Below are 18,364 nucleotides of genomic sequence, written 5' to 3'. Positions count from 1 at the left end.
GTTCCTTGCAGGATGATACTTGTACTCCTTAAGATCTGCTCTTGCCTGCCCTCATTACCTTAAGTCTGATAATTAGGGACAAGCTGCATCAAAGCCTGAGGAAAAAAAAAATACAGTTCGTGCTCTACAAGGAAATAATGTACATACCACCGAATTGTAGGAGCTGGCTAACTGGAACCAGGGCAACATGTGTGGAGTGGATCTTGGGGAATGCTAAATCAGGGGAGGTGGAATATAAGGGTGCAGGGTGAAATTTATTAATGTGGGAGCACTATCTCAAGACTTAGTGGTTAATGTGCTGGCAAGGACACCAGGAGTTGGCTCTGAGAACTAAATGGTGAATAAGAAAAATATAGCTTGGGGGCCGGGCAAGGTGGCTCACTCCTGTAATCCCAGCACTTTGGGAGGCCGAGGAGGGTGGATCATGAGGTCAGGAGTTCAAGATCAGCCCAGCCAACATGGTAAAACCCCGTCTCTACTAAAATACAAAAATCAGCCCGGCGTGGTGGTGGGCGCCTGTAATCCCGACTACTTGGGAGGCTGAAGCAGGAGAATCACTTGAACCTTGGAGGCAGAAGTTGCAATGAGCTGAGATTGAGACTCTGCCCTCCAGCCTGGGCTATAGAGCGAGACTCTGTCTCGAAAAAACAAAACAAAACAAAACATAAAACAAATACAGCTTGGTCCTCTTAGGCACTCATAATCTAGTAAGTTAGGTGTTTATAATTCAGTGTTATAAATTCTATAGTTATTAGATGAAGGGCCCTAAGATCAGGAAGAAGAAGAAGGAAGAGGAGGAGAGAAAGAAAAAGTTCCCTGATATTAAGTCTACTATGTACCTGACTCCTTAGCTACTGTTTCCCATTAAGTTTCATTTAGTCTTCTCTGTACGTCTGTTAAGTCAGGTATTATAAGGAGTAGTGGTGGGGGTTAATAGATTAAGGTGACATTGTCTGAAATTTTGTAAGCATGTCTTGATTCTATAACATAAAGGAAATATCTAAGCTTATGCCAAAAACCTAGTACAGATTCCCATGATACAGGCAAGGCAAGGCCTTTGAAGTCTTTTTTCCTCTCCCTAAATTTTTTTTTTTTTGAGATGGAGTCTCGCTCTGTCGCCCAGGCTGGAGTGTAGTGGCACCATCTCGGCTCACTGCAAGCTCTGCCTCTCGGGTTCATGCCATTCTTCTGCCTCAGCCTCCCAAGTAGCTGGGACTACAGGTGCCTGCCCCCACGCCCCGCTAATTTTTTGTATATTTAGTAGAGATGGTGTTTCACTGTGTTAGCCAGGATGGTCTCAATCTCCTGACCTCGTGATCCGCCCGCCTCAGCCTCCCAAAGTGCTGGGATTACAGGCATGAGCCACTGTGCCTGGCCTCCTCTCCCTGAATTTAAACACAAATCTTAGGATGCCACAACTCTGACCAGCTACTTGGCAGGAAATCAAGGAATAAGTGCAAGATGGCTGCCCTCCTTCCATATCCAGGAAAGGCCTGCTTCTCAGACTACTTTTGCTCCAGGGAAGAGGAGCAGGAGAAGAGAATCACCAATCTACTCACTCCATGAAGAAATAATGTACATACATTATTTCTACAGTTAGCCAGTAGATGCTGGCTAACTGGAACCAGGGCAACATGTATGGAATGGATCTTGGGAAATGCTGAATGTGGGGAGCCAAAGAGGAAAGTAAGCTGGGAACTGCTTAGGGCAAACCTGTATCCCAGTCTATTTCTAAAAAACATGGCTACGAAGATTTAAAAAAGTTACATACATCCCTTACAAGAAATTTCCTTGTGGATGAAGGACAGACATCATGACAATAACATAAAAGGCTGGCCAAGTCTGCATACTTTCTCTGTGAATAGTCAGTGGAGAACCTGGAGTCCTTATCACTAACAGAAAGACCCAGCCACTGTATACAATTCAGATTAGCTTTTAGTCCCCTTGGGAGAGTAAGAGGTAAGTGAGCAGAATAGCACAGAATCCCTTCTTCTCTCATAGATAGGATTACCTCCCTTTAATAGACAAAACTTTCATACCTAATCCTAGCTCAGGTAGGGAGCAAAGCCTAATCCAGGTCTGACTACTGCTCTGCAGAACCATGTCTATGGCCTTTGAAAGGATAACCTTTGGCCAGGTGCGGTGGCTCACGCCTATAATCCTAGCACTTTGGGAGGCCGTGGCGGGTGAATCAACTGAGGTCAGGAGTTCGAGACCAGCCTGGCCAATATGATGAAATGCCATCTCTACTAAAAATACAAAACATTAGCCAGGCATGGTGGCAGAGGCCTATAATCCCAGCTTGTCGGGAGCCTAAGGCAGCAGAATCCCTTGAACCTGTGAGGCGGAGGTTGCAGTGAGCGGAGATGGAGCCACTGCACTCCAGCCTGGACAACAAGAGTGAAACTTGATCTTGAAAGGAAAAGAGAACCTTTGACCAAATGGAGGGGAAAAATAGGTACACAGCAGCTTAGAGGCTGCTTTTAACGTTGTAGAAGGCACAGGAATTCCCAGGAGAGCAGGGAGTGCCTGGACAAATGAAATTTATGGGTCACGTGACTGAGCAGGCCAGGAAAATATTGGGCTTGTCAGATGTCAGCTCTTTCTGAGTAGAGTTCAGGTCAAGAAAACAAACTTAGATTAGCTAAGGATTACCCAGATTTTTGACCCTGTTGAAATGTTTCTCATGAGATTCTCACTGGATTTCAACCTGGTGTGCTCCTGGGATTTTTAAATAATTTTTTGGAATATTAAAATAACTTTACCTTTTGATTAGAAAAGCAATGTATAGTCATTATAACACATCATAAATATAAAAAATTACAGAGAAGAACTTAAAAATTATCCATAATCCCACAACTTAAAGATATTGCAATCGGCCGGGCGCAGTGGCTCACACCTATAATCCTAGCACTTTGAGAGGCCAAGGCAGGCGGATTGTCTGAGCTCAGGAGTTTGAGACCAACCTGGGCAACATGGTGAAACTCCCTCTCTACTAAAATACAAAAAAATTAGACAGGCGTGGCAGTGTGATCCTGTAGTCCCAGATACTTGGGAGGCTAAGGTAAGAGAATTGCTTGAACCCGGGAGGTGGAGGTTGCAGAGATCGCACCACTGCACTCCAGCCTGGGCAACACAGCGAGACTCCATCTCCATTAAAAAAAAAAAAAAAGATATTACAATGAATTTACATGTCCTTCCAGATTTAAAAAAACGTATCTAAGTTTGCCAATGTGACAACATGCTTCCTTCTTCCCACTTTCTGGTACATTCCAAGTTTCAGGTACCTTAGGAAGGTCTTTCTTGGTAATGCAACTCCAGAAAGAACAAATCACACTCGCCATGAGAACCTCTTTTTCCTTTTGTCTTCCTCACCTCTGGGGCCTGGGGTAGCCCCATTGGGTGTCTCATCTAAATAGAAGGCTTTGCGCCTGTTGAGAAGTTGAAGAACAAGTATATAGAGGAGAGACACCAGCTCTAGAGTCTCCAGGCCTATAGCCTCTGGCTTGGAACTCACAGTAAAGTTTTGATCATTCTTCTGGTCTCCATGTGTGCTCTCAATGCACTAAAGCTGAGATCAGCAAACTTTTTTTTTTTTTTTCTGAGACAGAGTCTTGCTCTATCGCCCAGGCTGGAGTGTAGTGGCACAATCTCAGCTCACTGCAACCTCTGCCTCCCTGGTTCAAGCAATTCTCCTGCCTCAGCTTCCCAAGTAGCTAGGATTACTGGTGCGTGCCACCATGCCCAGCTAATTTTTTGTATTTTTAATAGAGACGGGGTTTCACCATGTTGGCCAGGCTGGTCTCAAACTCCTGACCTCAGATGATCCACCCACCTTGGCCTCCCAAAGTGCTGAGGTTCCAGGCATGAGCCACCACACCCGGCTTCAGCAAACTTCTTTTGTTTTATTTATTTATTTTTTTTTTGAGACAGAGTCTCATTCTGTCACTCAGGCTGGAGTGCTGTGGTGCAATCTCGGCTCACTGCAACCTCCACCTCCCAGGTTCAAGTGATTCTCCTGCCTCAGTCTCCCAAGTACCTGGGATCACAGGCATGCGCCACCACACCTGGCTAATTTTTATATTTTTAGTAGAGACGGGGTTTCGCCATGTTGGCCAGGCTGGTCTCGAACTCCTGACCTTAGGTGATCCACCTGCTTCGGCCTGCCAAAGTGCTGGGATTACAGGTGTGAGCCACCATGCCCAGCCTAGCTTTTTGTATAAAGGATCAGATAATAACTATTTCAGGCTTTCTGGACTATACTGTCTCTATTGCAGCTGCTTGACTCTGCCATTGTTGGATAAAAGCAGACAATCCATAAATGAACGGGCATGACTGTGTTTCAATAAAACTTTATTTATGAAAACAAATGAGAAGCTGGACATGGCTGAAGGGCCACAGTTTGCCAACCCTTGCACTAGCTAAAGGAAGAGCATGAGGGAAGAAACTGTAGCATCTTCCTCTCATTACCAAAGGCAGAACACTAGGCATAATTATACACACACACATGCACACACATATACTCAAACATTTGTTTAAAAAGAAAACCTCACACATTTGTGATGAAACTATAGATTCAATTCTTTAAATTGTGGTAAAATACACATAACATAAAATTTACCATTTTAGCCATTTTAAATGTACAGTTCAGTGGTATTAAGTACATTCACATTGTTGTGCAACCATCACCACCATCCATTCGTCTCCAGAACTTTATTCATCTTGCAAAACTGAAACTCTATACCCATTAAACATTAAACCCTATTTCCCTCTCCCTCCAGCCTCTGGCAACCACCCTTCTATTTTCTGTCATTATGATTTTACTACTCCTGGGACCTCATGTAAGTGGAATCATGGCTGGGCATGGTGGCTCACGCCTATAATCCCACCACTCTGGGAGGCTGAGGAGGGTGGATTGCCTGAGCTCAGGAGTTCCAGACCACCCAGAGCAACATGGTGAAACCCCGTCTCTACTAAAAATACATAAAATTAACTGGGTGTGGTTGTGCAAGCCTCTAGTCCCAACTTCTTGGGAGGCCGAGGCAGGAGAATTGCTTGAGCCCCAAGAGATAAAGGTTGTAGTGAAGGCCGAGATCACGCCACTGCACTCCAGCTTGGGCTACAGAGTGAGACTCCATCTCAAAAAAAAAAAAAAAAAAAAAAAAAGAAAGTGGAATCATACAATATTGCCCTTTTTTTGATTGGCTTATTTCACTTGGTTCATTTATTTTTATTTATTTATTTATTTTGAGATAGAGTTTCGCTCTTTTGCCCAGGCTAGTGTGAAGTGGCACGATCTTAGCTCACTGCAACCTCTGCCCCCCGGGTTCAAGCAATTCTCATGCCTCAGCTTACGGAATAGCTGGGATTATAGGTTCCCACCACCATGCCCCACTAATTTTGTATTGTTAGTAGAGATGGGGTTTTGCCATGTTGGCCACTCTGGTCTTGAACTCCTGACCTCAGGTGATCCACCCGCCTTGGCCTCCTAAAGTGCTGGGATTACAGGCGTTAGCCACCGCGTCTGTCTTTTAAGGTTAATTTATGTTATAACATATGTCAGAGTATAGATTCAATTTTATAAATTTTAAAAACCTAACGATATTTCCTGCATACTTTTCCAGGTCATTAAAAACTTCTGGTAAATACAATTTTTAAAGGGTACATAATATTTCACTGAATTAGACTGACTAAAGGATAATTCATTAGAGGCCAGGACAACCTTCTCTACTTTCGAGGAGAGCTAGCCGCTCCCCTAATCACAGATGATTGGATTGGGGACCAATGCAGTAGCAAAGGCTACCCAACTACACATGAGCTGGGCCCTGGCTGCCCAGTGGAGATGCTGCCTATAGAATGGCCCTGAAATGAATCAATAAAATCTGGGATAGTAGAGCTGCAGGGCAAACAAAATGAAAGCAGGTCCCACTGTGTTAGGAAATCAACTCCATCCTAATAAATAATCTGATTTTGTCTCTTCTGTTTACCCTGATGAACTTGGCAGGCATAACTTATACATCCATCATGTGGATGATTCATATTTATAAGCATTCTCCTTTGGTGGACATTTAGGTTATTCCCAATATTTTGCTATTACAAATAATGTTTCAATAAACATCTTTGTACATAACCCTTTTTTACATATCCAGTCACTTCCTTGGAAAGGCTGAGTGAGTGTATCTTTGGCAGCAAATTCGCTGTGACTGGGAATTGTTTAGCCCTTTGGCCTCCAAGAAGTTTGAGGATCCAAGATGGCTCCACTGCTAAAACATTGATTGACTGCTCATAAGGAGAACTGGCAAGAGCTGAACAAGATATGAAGCTTCCAGTCCTACAAAGTTTCTTATTAGGATAAGGCTCAAGCTTAGAGGGGCAGGCCAAAAAATCAAGCAGGACAATAGGGCAAGACTGGCTAGGAAGAAAAGCCTAGGTCATAAGCCCATGCTGGTGAACTGAGCCTGTTCATTGTGGAGTGGCATTGAGGTTGAGGGTGACATGGGGGATAGAGTCTTCTGATGGGTGGTTATACAAACAACAGGGCCCTTCCTTAGCTTAATGAATCCTTGGTCTATTGGACCTACAGGAAACTTGAAGGAAGAAAGTAACTACACAGTAGTATCACACTCTGTGTGCTGGGCTGCAGTAAAATTATTTACTCATATCCAGTTCTCCTCCACTTTCTGGTAATAAGGAAGGTGATGATTCTTAGGCCCTTGCAGGTTGGCAGGGCTACATGACTAGTTCTAGCCAATGGACCAAAACTGGAATGCCATTGTATCATTTCTGGGATGAGATGGTTAAAACCTCAAACTTGGCCCATCCCTCATCTTTCCCCTGTCTTAGTATCCCTGAACACCATGTGTTGTGATGGTGACATTATAAGATGGAACCTTTCTCAGCCTGGGTTCTTGAGTAATAATATGGAGCACTGCCTTCCACTAACCTATGTTGGACGTATATTGTGATGAGAAATTAATTTTCTTTTTTTGAGATGGAGTCTTGCTCTGTCGCCTAGGCTGGAGTGCAGTGGTGCCATCTGGTCTCACTGCAGCCTCTGCCTCCTGAGTTCAAGCAATTCTCCTGCCTCAGCCTCCCGAGTAGCTGGGATTACAGGCGTGTGCCATCACGCCCAGCTAATTTTTGTATTTTAGCAGAGACAGGGTTTTACCATGTTGACCAGGCTGGTCTTGAACTCCTGACCTCGTGATCCGCCTGCCTCGGCCTCGCAAAGTGCTGGGATTACAGGTGTGAACCACCGTGCCCAGCCGAGAAATGAATTTTCTTATTTAGCATTGTTGACTATCCTAACCTAATTGAGACACTGGCCTTGTGCAAGGTTAAGTGGCAGAGTTCAGATTTGACTCTAAGTCTCTCTAACTTCAGAGCCTGCATTATTAGTCCTAGATCATTTAGATCTGCTTGGTGGGATCTTGTGAGTCCATTGGCTTTGAGGGTAGAACACCAGATCTTGGATCTGGGAGTGTGATCATTTCCTAAACTCCTAAGATCAAGGAAGAGAACAAAAAAGGCGGCTGGGCACAGTGGCTCATGCCTGTAATCCCAGCACTTTGGGAGGTGGGTGGATCACGAGGTCAGGAATTGACCAGCCTGACCAACACGGTGAAACCCCATCTCTACTAAAACTACAAAAAATCAGCCGGGCATGGTGGCAGGTGCCTGTAATCCCAGTTACTCAGGAGGCTGAGGCAGGGGAATCGCTCAAACCCAGGAGGCAGAGGTTGCAGTAAACCGAGATTGTGCCACTGCACTCCAGCCTGGGCGACAGAGCAAGACTCTGTCTCAGGAAAAAAAATAAAAAAGGGCTACTGATATTGCCTCTGCTCCTGTTAGGAGTGGGAACTGATTTGGGAAGGAGGTTGCTCTTGCAGGTGAAGACATCAGTAGACTCAGTATTAGGTCGCTGAGTAAGACTCTGAGTAAGTGAAGAAAAATGAGATGGGGCTGAAAGATGGTAATATTCCTGTTATCACTGAAGATCAAGTCATTTTCTCTCCAGGATGACAATTGACAATGCAGACTAATTTTTTCACAAATGTTCATTCTTGCTTCTACTGGTGACATGTGGGCAGGCACGGCAGGAGGAGGTCACAATCATCTGAGTGTTGCAGAGTTATTCATCTGGTGCAGAATGGGGTGACAGCTCACTGAGACTTAGCATTCTGTTGGATTGAGTCACTCTGCATGTCATGCTGTCTCAGCATCAAATCATCCTCTTAGGTCTAGGTTTCAAAGGGGTCCTGAGAAGTAAGTCCCTATAGTTTCTAAAGTCTCTGGGTACCTTCTTGGCTCTGTTGGGGTTCCCCACATCAAATTCCTTCATAGCTTTTAGTCTCTCCTGGGCCCCTAGAGAAAAAGGAAGAATATTGTTGAGGTGTTCCTCGTATTTTCAATTCCATATTGGAGCTTGGGATCAAAACTGGGACTTCAAGAAGAGAATTGCAGTGGAATCTCAGGGTTCCCAGTAGGACAAAAACAAACAAACAAAAAACCAAGAAATACAAGAAATTTTATCTAGGCCGGGCGCTGTGGCTCATGCCTTAATCCCAGCACTTTGGGAGGCCGAGGCGGATGGATTACAAGGTCAGGAGTTCAAGACCAGACTGGCCAAGACGGTGAAACCCTGTCTCTACTAAAAGTACAAAAAGTTAGCCAGGCATGGCGGCAGGCATCTGTAATCCCAGCTACTCGGGAGGCTGAGGCAGGTGAATCGCTTGAACCCGGGAGGCAGAGGTTGCGGTGAGCCAAGATCATGCCATTGCACTCCAGCCTGGCAACAGAGCGTAACTCCGTCTCAAAAAAAAAAAAAAAAAAAAAAAAATTATCCCTTCAAGATGGACATAATACCTATCTTATAGGGTTGCAGCAAAGATTATGTGGCGTACCTTGGCAGGAGTGGGACTTAGCATTTGTTCTTGTTCCTCCTATTCCATTCCAAACCATCCTATTCCTTGTACAGATCTTGCAAGGACGCTGTGTGAAACAGCGTTGTTGCAACTCTGAACAAGAGGATGAACAATCACACAAGACATTGGCAGGAGTTCCTAGGACAGATAAGTCAATCAAACATAGCCTGTGGGCCTTACCCTCTATCTCTGAATTGGGTTCTTTTCATTCCAAGGGATAGAGACTCACTCAAGAAAGGTCTGTGGGCAAAAGGGAGGCAGTCTCGTGGAAATCTGAGAGGGGAAGGCAAAATAGGACCAAACTGCATGGTACTGGAGGTGGAGGGTAGACCAGCACCAGGATCTCTGCAACAGACTTTAAGGATTTTCCCTGAAGTGCTCCCCAAGAAATGTTACCCAAGTCCTTTAGGTCTCTTTCTCTGTTTCTGCCCACTTCTCTTCTTGCTAAACTCTTGATTTTCTCTGTCTTTTCTCTACCTCATGCTATTTGCTGACTTCTAGCTTGGTTCACTTAATTGCTAATCGTGGCCTCTCCAGCCTGTCTCAAACTTGCATCCTAAGCCTCTGTAAAGTGCCTGATTTTATCTGTATTTCCCAATTTACATTTCTAAGAGTAATATTGGGTTGGTCTAGGCTTCCTTATTAGGGCAGGTCTTTCCCTGGGCTACACAGTAAGCCTCTGTCTGCCCTGGGGTCAAGTGTTCACATAGTTTTCAATCACATAGAGGTGAAGGGAGGAGTTGGGGGTTTGGAGAAAGCCAGATGGCTGCATGGTGGAGTTCAGAGCATGGCTGCCTGGAGCTAGGGGCTGCAGAAGATAGTTTCCTGTAGAGTAGACGTGGCCATGCATGTGGCAGACATGCCGTGATTGCCATATCTAGTAGACACATTGAATTTTGAGTTTTTCATTGTCTGGTTTGTAGCCTTGTCCAAATGTGTAGTTTACCGTATGAGAAAGGGAGGATCAGAGAGGTAGAGTAACCTACCCAGGGTCACACAGTAAGTGGTAGAGCAGGAATTAGGATTTAATTTAGTGTTTTTTTCTAGTATGTTACATGTAAGTATATAAAAAATTGATGGATAGCCTACTCTGGGCCAGAACTATTCCAGGCACGGGAACAAACCACACCAAAATCCTTGTCCTTGTGGACCTAATATTCTAGCGAGGAAATAACAACAGTAAAAAAAAAAAAAAAAAAATCACTAAAAAAAACAAATTATATAATATGTTAGAAGGTGACAAGTGTTATGGAGAAAATAAGAATGGGGGAATTAGGGCTGGGTGCAGTGGCTCGCACCTGTAATCCCAGCACTTGGGGAGGCCAAAGCCGGTGGATCACTTGAGGCCAGGAGTTCGAAACCAGCCTGGCCAACATGATGAAACCCCATCTCTACTAAAAATACAAAAATTAGCCAGATGTGGTGGTGCACGTCTGTAATCCCAGCTACTTGGGAGGCTGAAGCAGGAGAATTGCTTGAACCCGGAAGACAGAGGTTGCAGTGAGCTGAGATGGCACCACTACACTCAAGCCTGGGCAACAGAGTGAGACTCCATCTCAAAAAAAAAAAAAAAAAAGAGAGAGATATACCTTGTCCCCAAACAGCCTGTTTTTGGCTGGGCACGGTGGCTCACACTTGTAATTTCAACACTTTGAGGCCAAGGCGGGCTGATCACCTGAGGTCAGGAGTTCGAGACCAGCCTGGCCAACATGGTGAAACCCCATCTCTACTAATAATACAAAAATTAGCTGGAGGTGGTGTTGCATACCTGTAATCCCAGCTACTCAGGAGGTTGAGGCAGGAGAATCGCTTGAACCCTGGAAGCAGAAGTTGCAGTGAGCTGAGATCACGCCATTGCACTCCAGCCTGGACCACAAGAGCGAAACTCTGTCTCCAAAAAAAAAAAGAAAAAAAGGGGGGAGGATTAGGAGTGCTGAGGGGAATTATAATTTAAAATAGGGAGTTCAGTGTAGGTCTCAATGTGATGGTGAGAGACTGTTCACCTCACCACGCTTTAAGCTTCCTGAGAATAGACTATGCGTCTTCCTTCTCCTCCTCCTGGCCCAGTGCCTTGGCTGTGGTGAGTATGAAATAACTGTTAGTTGAACTGAACACTACAGGAATGTTCTGAAGGTTGGGGAAGACAAGAAAAGGCTTTAAGTTTATATTGGTCTCCTCTTGTGTAACTTCCCTGCCCTTTGTGAAGGGCAGCATGCTTCATGTAGCCCTCCATATTGTTAGACTCATTGCAGAAATGTGCCTTTCCACACTCCTGAGATCATTAGACCTCATGAAATGCCTTGTAAGGGCTCTTAATATGAAGCTGTGGCCAGAAATTTAATTAACAGAGAAAACACAACCTAAGCATGCAAGACAGCACGACTCAAAGTCTCATAAAAGCCCATTTCCTTGGAGGCACTGGAGCAGTGGAGAGCCTCTTCATTAGTGGTGAGCTGATAAATGTTTAACAACTGGCTCTGTAGGGCAGGGAAGGGATCATGATTTGTAGGTTTGCCCATTCCTGTGGTGTAAATACTCTATGGCTGATTCAGGTTTAAAAAATGTAATAGGACTGAGCATTTCCCTTTTCTTTTTTTTTTTTTTTTTTGAGATGGAGTCTCACTCTGTTAACCTAGGCTGGACTGCAGTGGCGTGGTCTTGGCTCACTGCAACCTCTGCCTCCCAGGTTCAAGAAATTCTCCCACCTCAGCCTCCTGAGTAGGTGGGACTACAGGCACGTGCCACCACACCCAGCTAATTTTTTTTTGTATTTTTAGTAAAGACGGGGTTTCACTATGTTGGCCAGGCTGGTCTCAAACTCCTGACCTCGTGATCCATCTGCCTCAGCCTCCCAAAGTGCTGGGATTACAGGCGTGAGCCACCATGCCCGGCCGAGCATTTCTATCACAGAGATATAATAGATATAAATCACTTTAAGAGCATAGATGGTAGTAAAATACAGTATAATAATTAGGAAGTGATGAGTTTTGAGTGTTTATTATCATTGATTTTAATATTCACTTAAGTTTATATAATTTTAATCATGGTCACATTTATTTATTTATTCATATTTTTGGTTTTTTTGAGACAGGGTCTCGCTCTGTCACCCAGGCTGGAGTACAGTGGTGTGATCTCAGCTCACTGCAACCTCCGCCTCCCAGGTTCAAGCAATTCTCCTGCCTCAGCCTCCTGAGTCGCTGGGACTACAGGCACATACCACCACGCCTGGCTAATTTTTGCATTTTTAGTAGAGACGGGGTTTTGGCACGTTGGCCAGGCTGGTCTCGAACTCCTGACCTCAGGTGATCCACCCGCCTTGGCCTCCCAAAGTGTTGGGATTACAGGCGTGAGCCACCGCGCCCAGCCTTCCATGGCCACATTTAGTAACTGGTTTGCAAACATTCTGAAAAAGTAGCAATTGGCTCTTGTGGGCCATGATCCATGACAGCTCTAGCATACCACCACTCTGGTCCTCCTCAGTGTGCACCTGTTTCTTGGCAAGGACCAGCTCATATGAATCTTGAGCTTCAAATGCAAAGGCAGCTCCATTGCTTCCTTGTCACCTAACTGGTCACATCTCCCCATGGCTGCTATCTTGTGCCTCTGCCACACGGCTTCTCCATCTTCTATGGTAAGTGGGGTTTTGCAGAGTTTCTGGGAGAGTGTCCTTCTCCAGGCTGGAGCCCCCTGTGGTGGACACAGGCTTTTATTCTTCAGTGAGGATCTTGGTCTCACATCCTTGTACTCTCCCTTAAGGTGTTCTTGCTCACTTTACCGTGAGCCACCTTGGCATATTGGGCTGTCAAGTTCCATCTGGTCAGTGAGCATTTGTGGAGTCCGTACAGTGTGCTGACTCCTCCTGTTTGTGTTTCTGGTGCCAGGTCCTGTGCTCTGACATCCATTCTCTCATTTGGCCCTTAGAGCAGCCCTGCTGGATGAGTCTTATTTTTTCAACATTTCACGTGAGGAAACTGTGGCCCAGAGACGGGAAGTAACTTGCCCACAGTCCAGCAGTCATGTCTTAAGCAAAACATTGCCTTTGATATGTAACGTGCAGGGAAACATCTTTCACCCCTCAGCTGGCTGCTGCTGGTTGTGGACTCACTTTGCTCAACTAAGGGAGGATTTGGAGTTGTTTTCTGGGAAGGCTCCACCACAGAATTGCAGCAGAGGGACATTTAGATAGAAGGGCAGAACTGGAGTTGGAGCCAGTCATGAGCCCCAGGAGCATCTGTGATTCCGTGTTATTCCTAAAGAAGGCAGAGCTGGAACTGGGGTTGGGTCTGCTCCCTGGGAACATCTATGACCCTGTCTCATTGCCTTGCACCCCTCTGTGCCTGCTGGAGCCTGGTTCCTGGCTCCTAAAGGAGAAACGCCATTTGGAGGCAAGTGTGGTCCTTCCCATTGCAGGAGCTCCTTTTTTTTTTTTTTTTTAAGATGGTGTCTCACGCTGTCGCCCAGGCTGGAGTGCAATGGCGCGATCTCGGCTCACTGCAACCTCCGCCTCCCGGGTTCAAGCAATTCTCCTGCCTCAGTCTCCCGAGTAGCTGGGATTACAGGTGCCTGCCACCATGCCCAGCTATTATTTGTATTTTTAGTAGAGAACAGGTTTCGCCATGTTGGCCAGGCTGGTCTCGAACTTCTGACCTCAGGTGATCCGTCCATCTCCTCCCAAAGTGCTGGGATTAAAGCATAAGCCACCATGCCCGGCCTGCAGGAGCTCTTAACACCTGTGCGGAGAAGGCTGGGCACCTTGCGACTGAGCAGCAGATGTGTCTCATGAAGGGAAGCCAGCTTTAGCTGTGGAGCAAATGCTGAGTGCCAGGCTGGGGAAGGTGGGACAAGAAGAAGGTGAGAATTGAAGGATCATGGAAGCCTGTTTCTCAGAAGACCTGGATTCAAGTCTAAGTTCTCCTTACTTATTAGCTTTGTGGACTTGGGTAAATCATTAAGCCTCTGAGTTGTTTGCCCCTCTGTGGAATGAGGGAGATAAGGATAGTGGCTACTGTTTGTTAAGGGCTCTCTATGAATTAGGTGCTGCAGTCAGCGTGTACTAAACATTATGTACAAGGTAATTCCCATAAAAGACTGAACCCAGTGCCAGAAACACGGTCAATGTGCACTATATGGCAGCTGTTAATGTTTTGTTGATCCTCCTAACAATCCCCTGATTAATAATAACCACAGAAATAATAATAGTTGCTAGCATTTATGGAGCACTTTGTATGCATCCAGCCATTGTTTTGAGTGCTCTAGGTGTATTAACTTATTTAATTTTCCCAGCTATCCCATGAGGTTGGTTCTATTTTTAACCTCATTGACATGTGAGAAAATTGAAGCACAATTAAGTTAAATGCATTGCCCAAGACACGTGACTAGAAATTGACAAACAGCTAGAAAGCAGAAGAGGTGTTCTTATTGTTGCCCATTTCACAAGGACAGTAACTAAGGCACAGAGAGGCTGAGCAGCGTGCCCATGGCTGGGGTCGGCAGGACTCTCCTCTGGGTTTTTGGGCAGATGAAATGATATAATGGATGGGAAATGGCTTTGTGAACTGTCCTTCCGACTGTTTCAGCCGGCAGTGAGTAAGCTTTGCATGTTCTGTTTTTTCTAATCTAGTTGCATCAGCTGGTCTGAGAGCCAGGGGCCTTTAGGAGGACCTGCCTGGACTTAGCTTGTCATTGGATAGGTGCTTTGTGTGTAGGTCCTGGACTTACATCCCCTCGGGACAGCCTAGGAGCCGTGGCTTGTCTGACTTCAAAGCCGTTGCCAGCTGGGAGGCTTTGGGAGGAGCCAGCTGGCAGCTGGCCACCATCATGTGCAGCTGGGGTTACCAGCAGTCACTCTCCGGCCTTCCCCCAACCACACTCACTGTCTCCAGTGGCTGATTCCCAGACACACCCAAGACAGCAGTCAGCCAGGCAGGGGGAAGAGCAGCTCGAGGCTCCTAATGGAGTGGCGCTAATCAGGGAAAAAGGGAGCCTCTTTTTGCTCCCTTCCCCACTATGCTTCTGGCATAACCCCTCTCCCACAGGGCTCCTCAGGCATGACATCCTAGAAATTCCTGGGTGCATTCCTTCTTCCCAGTTACGTACTTTCCAAAATGGAGTAGGTAGGGCTACTGGGTCTTTGGGGAGGGGTCAGTGTTACATGCCTCTAGGGCTCTCTCCTCACTTCACTGGGAGATCCTCCAGCAGGGGTAGGATCTCCCCTCTCCTGAGCCAGCATCGGGCAGGGCCTGGGAAGGTGTTCAGTATTGTCACGTTTCTGGAGGGAAGGCCAATTCAGCTATCGGGTTGGCACTTGGGTGCTGTGTGTGGTGATGGTGATGGTGATGGTGGCAGCTTGTGTGTGTCTGGAGGAGGGAGGAAGTTTGGTGGGGGAAGGGAACCAGAGGCAGCTGAGGCTGAAAGGGCTGAGATGCGGGGGCTCTCGCCTGCTGGTGTGGCAGGAAGGGCTTGGGCTCCATACACACATAGATGTGGCCTTGACTCCTCACCTCATCACGCACTGTCTGAATGAGGTGTTCATCTCATGCGATTCTTCCCCTGGGCCTCTTTGTTTATGAAGGGAATGGGGGAAGGTAAAAACCAGACTTCAGTTTGGTTTCTGTCTGGCAGTAATGACTAAGCTCTCTTTTTTCCTGATTAGTCTTAGGCAAATGTCTGTACAAGAATTATTTTCTTACGAGGATCACACAGTCCAGTGTAACATGAAATTCCTCCAATTAAAATGACTTTGCCTCTCCATGTTGTGAAATATTAACCTTGACATTATTGTGCTAATAGTACATGCTCCTATTCTCAGATCCTATTTTCACTTCGAAGGTACTCTGAGTCCATCAAGATGGACTAAACTTTTCTATATATCAGCTCTATGATCCCCAGGTCTTCCCTGAGAGGAGCTGGGGGTAAGATGGAGAATCTCAGTTCATCTAGCCAAAAATATTTGTTCCTTTCACTTCCCTTAAAGAATTTTACAGTTCAGGAATCACTTCCACATGCTTTATGGGAAATCTTTTTTTTTTTTTTTTTTTTTGAGATGGAGTCTCGCTCTGTCGCCCAGGCTGGAGTGCAGTGGAGCGATCTCGGATCACTGCAAGCTCCGCCTCCCAGGTTCACCCCATTCTCCTGCCTCAGCCTCCCAAGTAGCTGGGACTACAGGCGCCCGCCACCACGCCCGGCTAATTTTTTGTATTTTTAGTAGAGATGGGGTTTCACCATGTTAGCCAGGGTGGTCTCGATCTCCTGACCTCCTGATCCGCCCGTCTTGGCCTCCCAAAGTGCTGGGATTACAGGCGTGAGCCACCGTGCCCGGCCTTTTTTTTTTTGAGATGGAGTCTCACTCTGTCGCCAGGCTGGAGTGCAGTGGCACGATCTCAGCTCACTGCAACCTCCGCCTCCCGGGTTCAAGCGATTCTCCTGCTTTAGCCTCCCGAGTAGCTGGGACTACAGGGGTGCGCCACCACGCCCAGCTAATTTTTGTATTTTTAGTAGAGACGGGGTTTCACCATGTTGGCCAGGATGGTCTCCATCTCTTGACCTCGTGATCCACCCCCCTCAGCCTCCAAAAGTGCTGGGATTACAGGCGTGAGCTGCCGCACCCCGCCGCTTTATGTGAAATCTTTAAAACACGTGTCTGAAGTAAGTATTCTCCCCCATCATTAAAGTGTAGATAGAGAATCTAAGACTCAGAGAAGGTAACTGAATTGCCTAGGGTCACATAACCATTGAGCAGCTCTGAGTTCCTCACGGTGCCTTCTGTGTCCTCTTCTCTCTGCTCAACTGCATCCATCTCTGGCTGCAGTGCCAGCTGCTTCAATCTGTTCTCTCTGTGGGAGGCCGCAAGCCACCAGGCATCAGCCAGGAGCAGAAGTGTTCAAAAATTGTCCAGCTGCAGCTGGGCAGAACTCAAGGAGTTGTGGTCCCCCACTGCAGCTGACAAGGATAGCGAGAAGCAAATACCCTGAAGGTTAGGAGCCCATCAGGGGAGGACTAGAGGGAATCAATTCATCAGCTGTGTCCAAATGCCCCACCTCCCAGCAGAAGGCCACACCATCTACCAGTGAAACCTGCTGCAATCTTGACCCTTGAATCCTCACCATGATCCGGTATCCTCTTGGCTCACCACCGCACCCCTTCCAATGAATCACTAGGTGGTTTCCAGTCTACCTCTGATATAGCTCCCTAATTTTTCCCCTCCTCTACATCTCCAGCCTGCACTCTAGAGCTGCAACCCCCTTCCCCAGTCCACCGCACTCTGCCTCCGGGATCTCTCCCCTCCTGCAACCTCAAGGGAATTCTTGCAGTGATTTTTAGAAAGAAAAAAGTGTAGGCTGGACATGATGGCTCACACCTGTAATCTCAGCACTTTGGGAGGCTGAGGCGGATGGGTCACTTGAGGTCAGGAGTTCGAGACCAGTCTGGCCAACGTGGTGAAACCCTCTCTATAATAAAAATACAAAATCAGTGGACAGTAGTGGTGCACCCCTGTAATCCCAGTCACCCAGGAGGCTGAGGCAGGAGAATTGCTTGAATCTGGGAGGTGGAGGCTGCTGTGAGCCAAGATTGTGCCACTGCACCCCTGCCTGGGCAACAGAGTGAGACTCCATCCCCACTACCAAAAAAAAAAAAAAAGAAAAAAGAAAAGAAAGGAAAAAAGTGCAAATCTGCTTGTATTATGCTTCAAAATCCTTTACCATCTATGCATTGCTTTCTAAATGCAGTGACAGTCCCTTAGCTGATGCACTCTACTTGTGGGCTGCCCTGTTATTATTTTTTTTTAGATGCAGTTTTGCTCTTATCGCCAAGGCTGGAGTGCAGTGGCACGATCTCCGCCCCCGGGGTTCAAGCGATTCTCCTGCCTCATCCTCCCAAGTAGCTGGGATTACAGGCATGTGCCATCACACCTGACTAATTTTTTGTATTTAGTAGAGATGTGGTTTCACCATGTTGGTCCGGCTTGTCTTGCACTCCTGACCTCAGGTGATCTGCCTCAGCCTCCCAAAGTGCTGGGATTACAGGCGTGTGCCACCGCGCCCAGTGTGCCCCATTACTCTATAGCTTTACTCCTTATGTGTATGTTCTACTCTATCAGTGCTAAATTTTCCAGTCTCAGTGGGTTGTGCCATCTCCCTTCTTGTCCTGGGTAACTCCTGTTCCTACTTCAGATGTCTCTTCCTCTGGAAAACCTTTCACTTGATACCCACTCCAAGACTGGCTTAGGGGTCCCTCTTCAGGGCCCTCTGTTTATCCCTGTGGTGGAACTAATACTGGGATTCCCTCGTCTCAGGTGTAATGAAGTAAAAACAAAAATGGATCAAACAGCTGGCACCGTGAGTTTGCTACTGGAAGATACTTTGGTAGAAATACCTAGAGAATCTGCCTGGGTTGAATGTGAGGTTCAGAGAGCAGGAAACAAAGCAGCAAAAGATGCTGAG

The 18,364-nt window shown here is 46.5% G+C and overlaps 1 annotated feature.

Annotated features, from left to right (window-relative positions):
• Positions 7,752-8,951: an enhancer, noted in NCBI's record as "MED14-independent group 3 enhancer chr9:107832754-107833953 (GRCh37/hg19 assembly coordinates)". NCBI's record gives its function as "activates an origin of replication core promoter dependent on BRD2, BRD4, P300/CBP and CDK7 cofactors, and independent of MED14, by STARR-seq in HCT116 cells {active_cell/tissue: HCT116}" and the evidence as "EXISTENCE:reporter gene assay evidence [ECO:0000049][PMID:35650434]".

The sequence above is a fragment of the Homo sapiens genome, chromosome 9 (genome assembly GCF_000001405.40).
Source record: "Homo sapiens chromosome 9, GRCh38.p14 Primary Assembly".
In the NCBI taxonomy this organism is placed as follows: Eukaryota; Metazoa; Chordata; class Mammalia; order Primates; family Hominidae; genus Homo; species Homo sapiens.
Note: the sequence above shows the minus strand (reverse complement) of the source record. Positions and strands in the feature narration are given on the sequence as shown.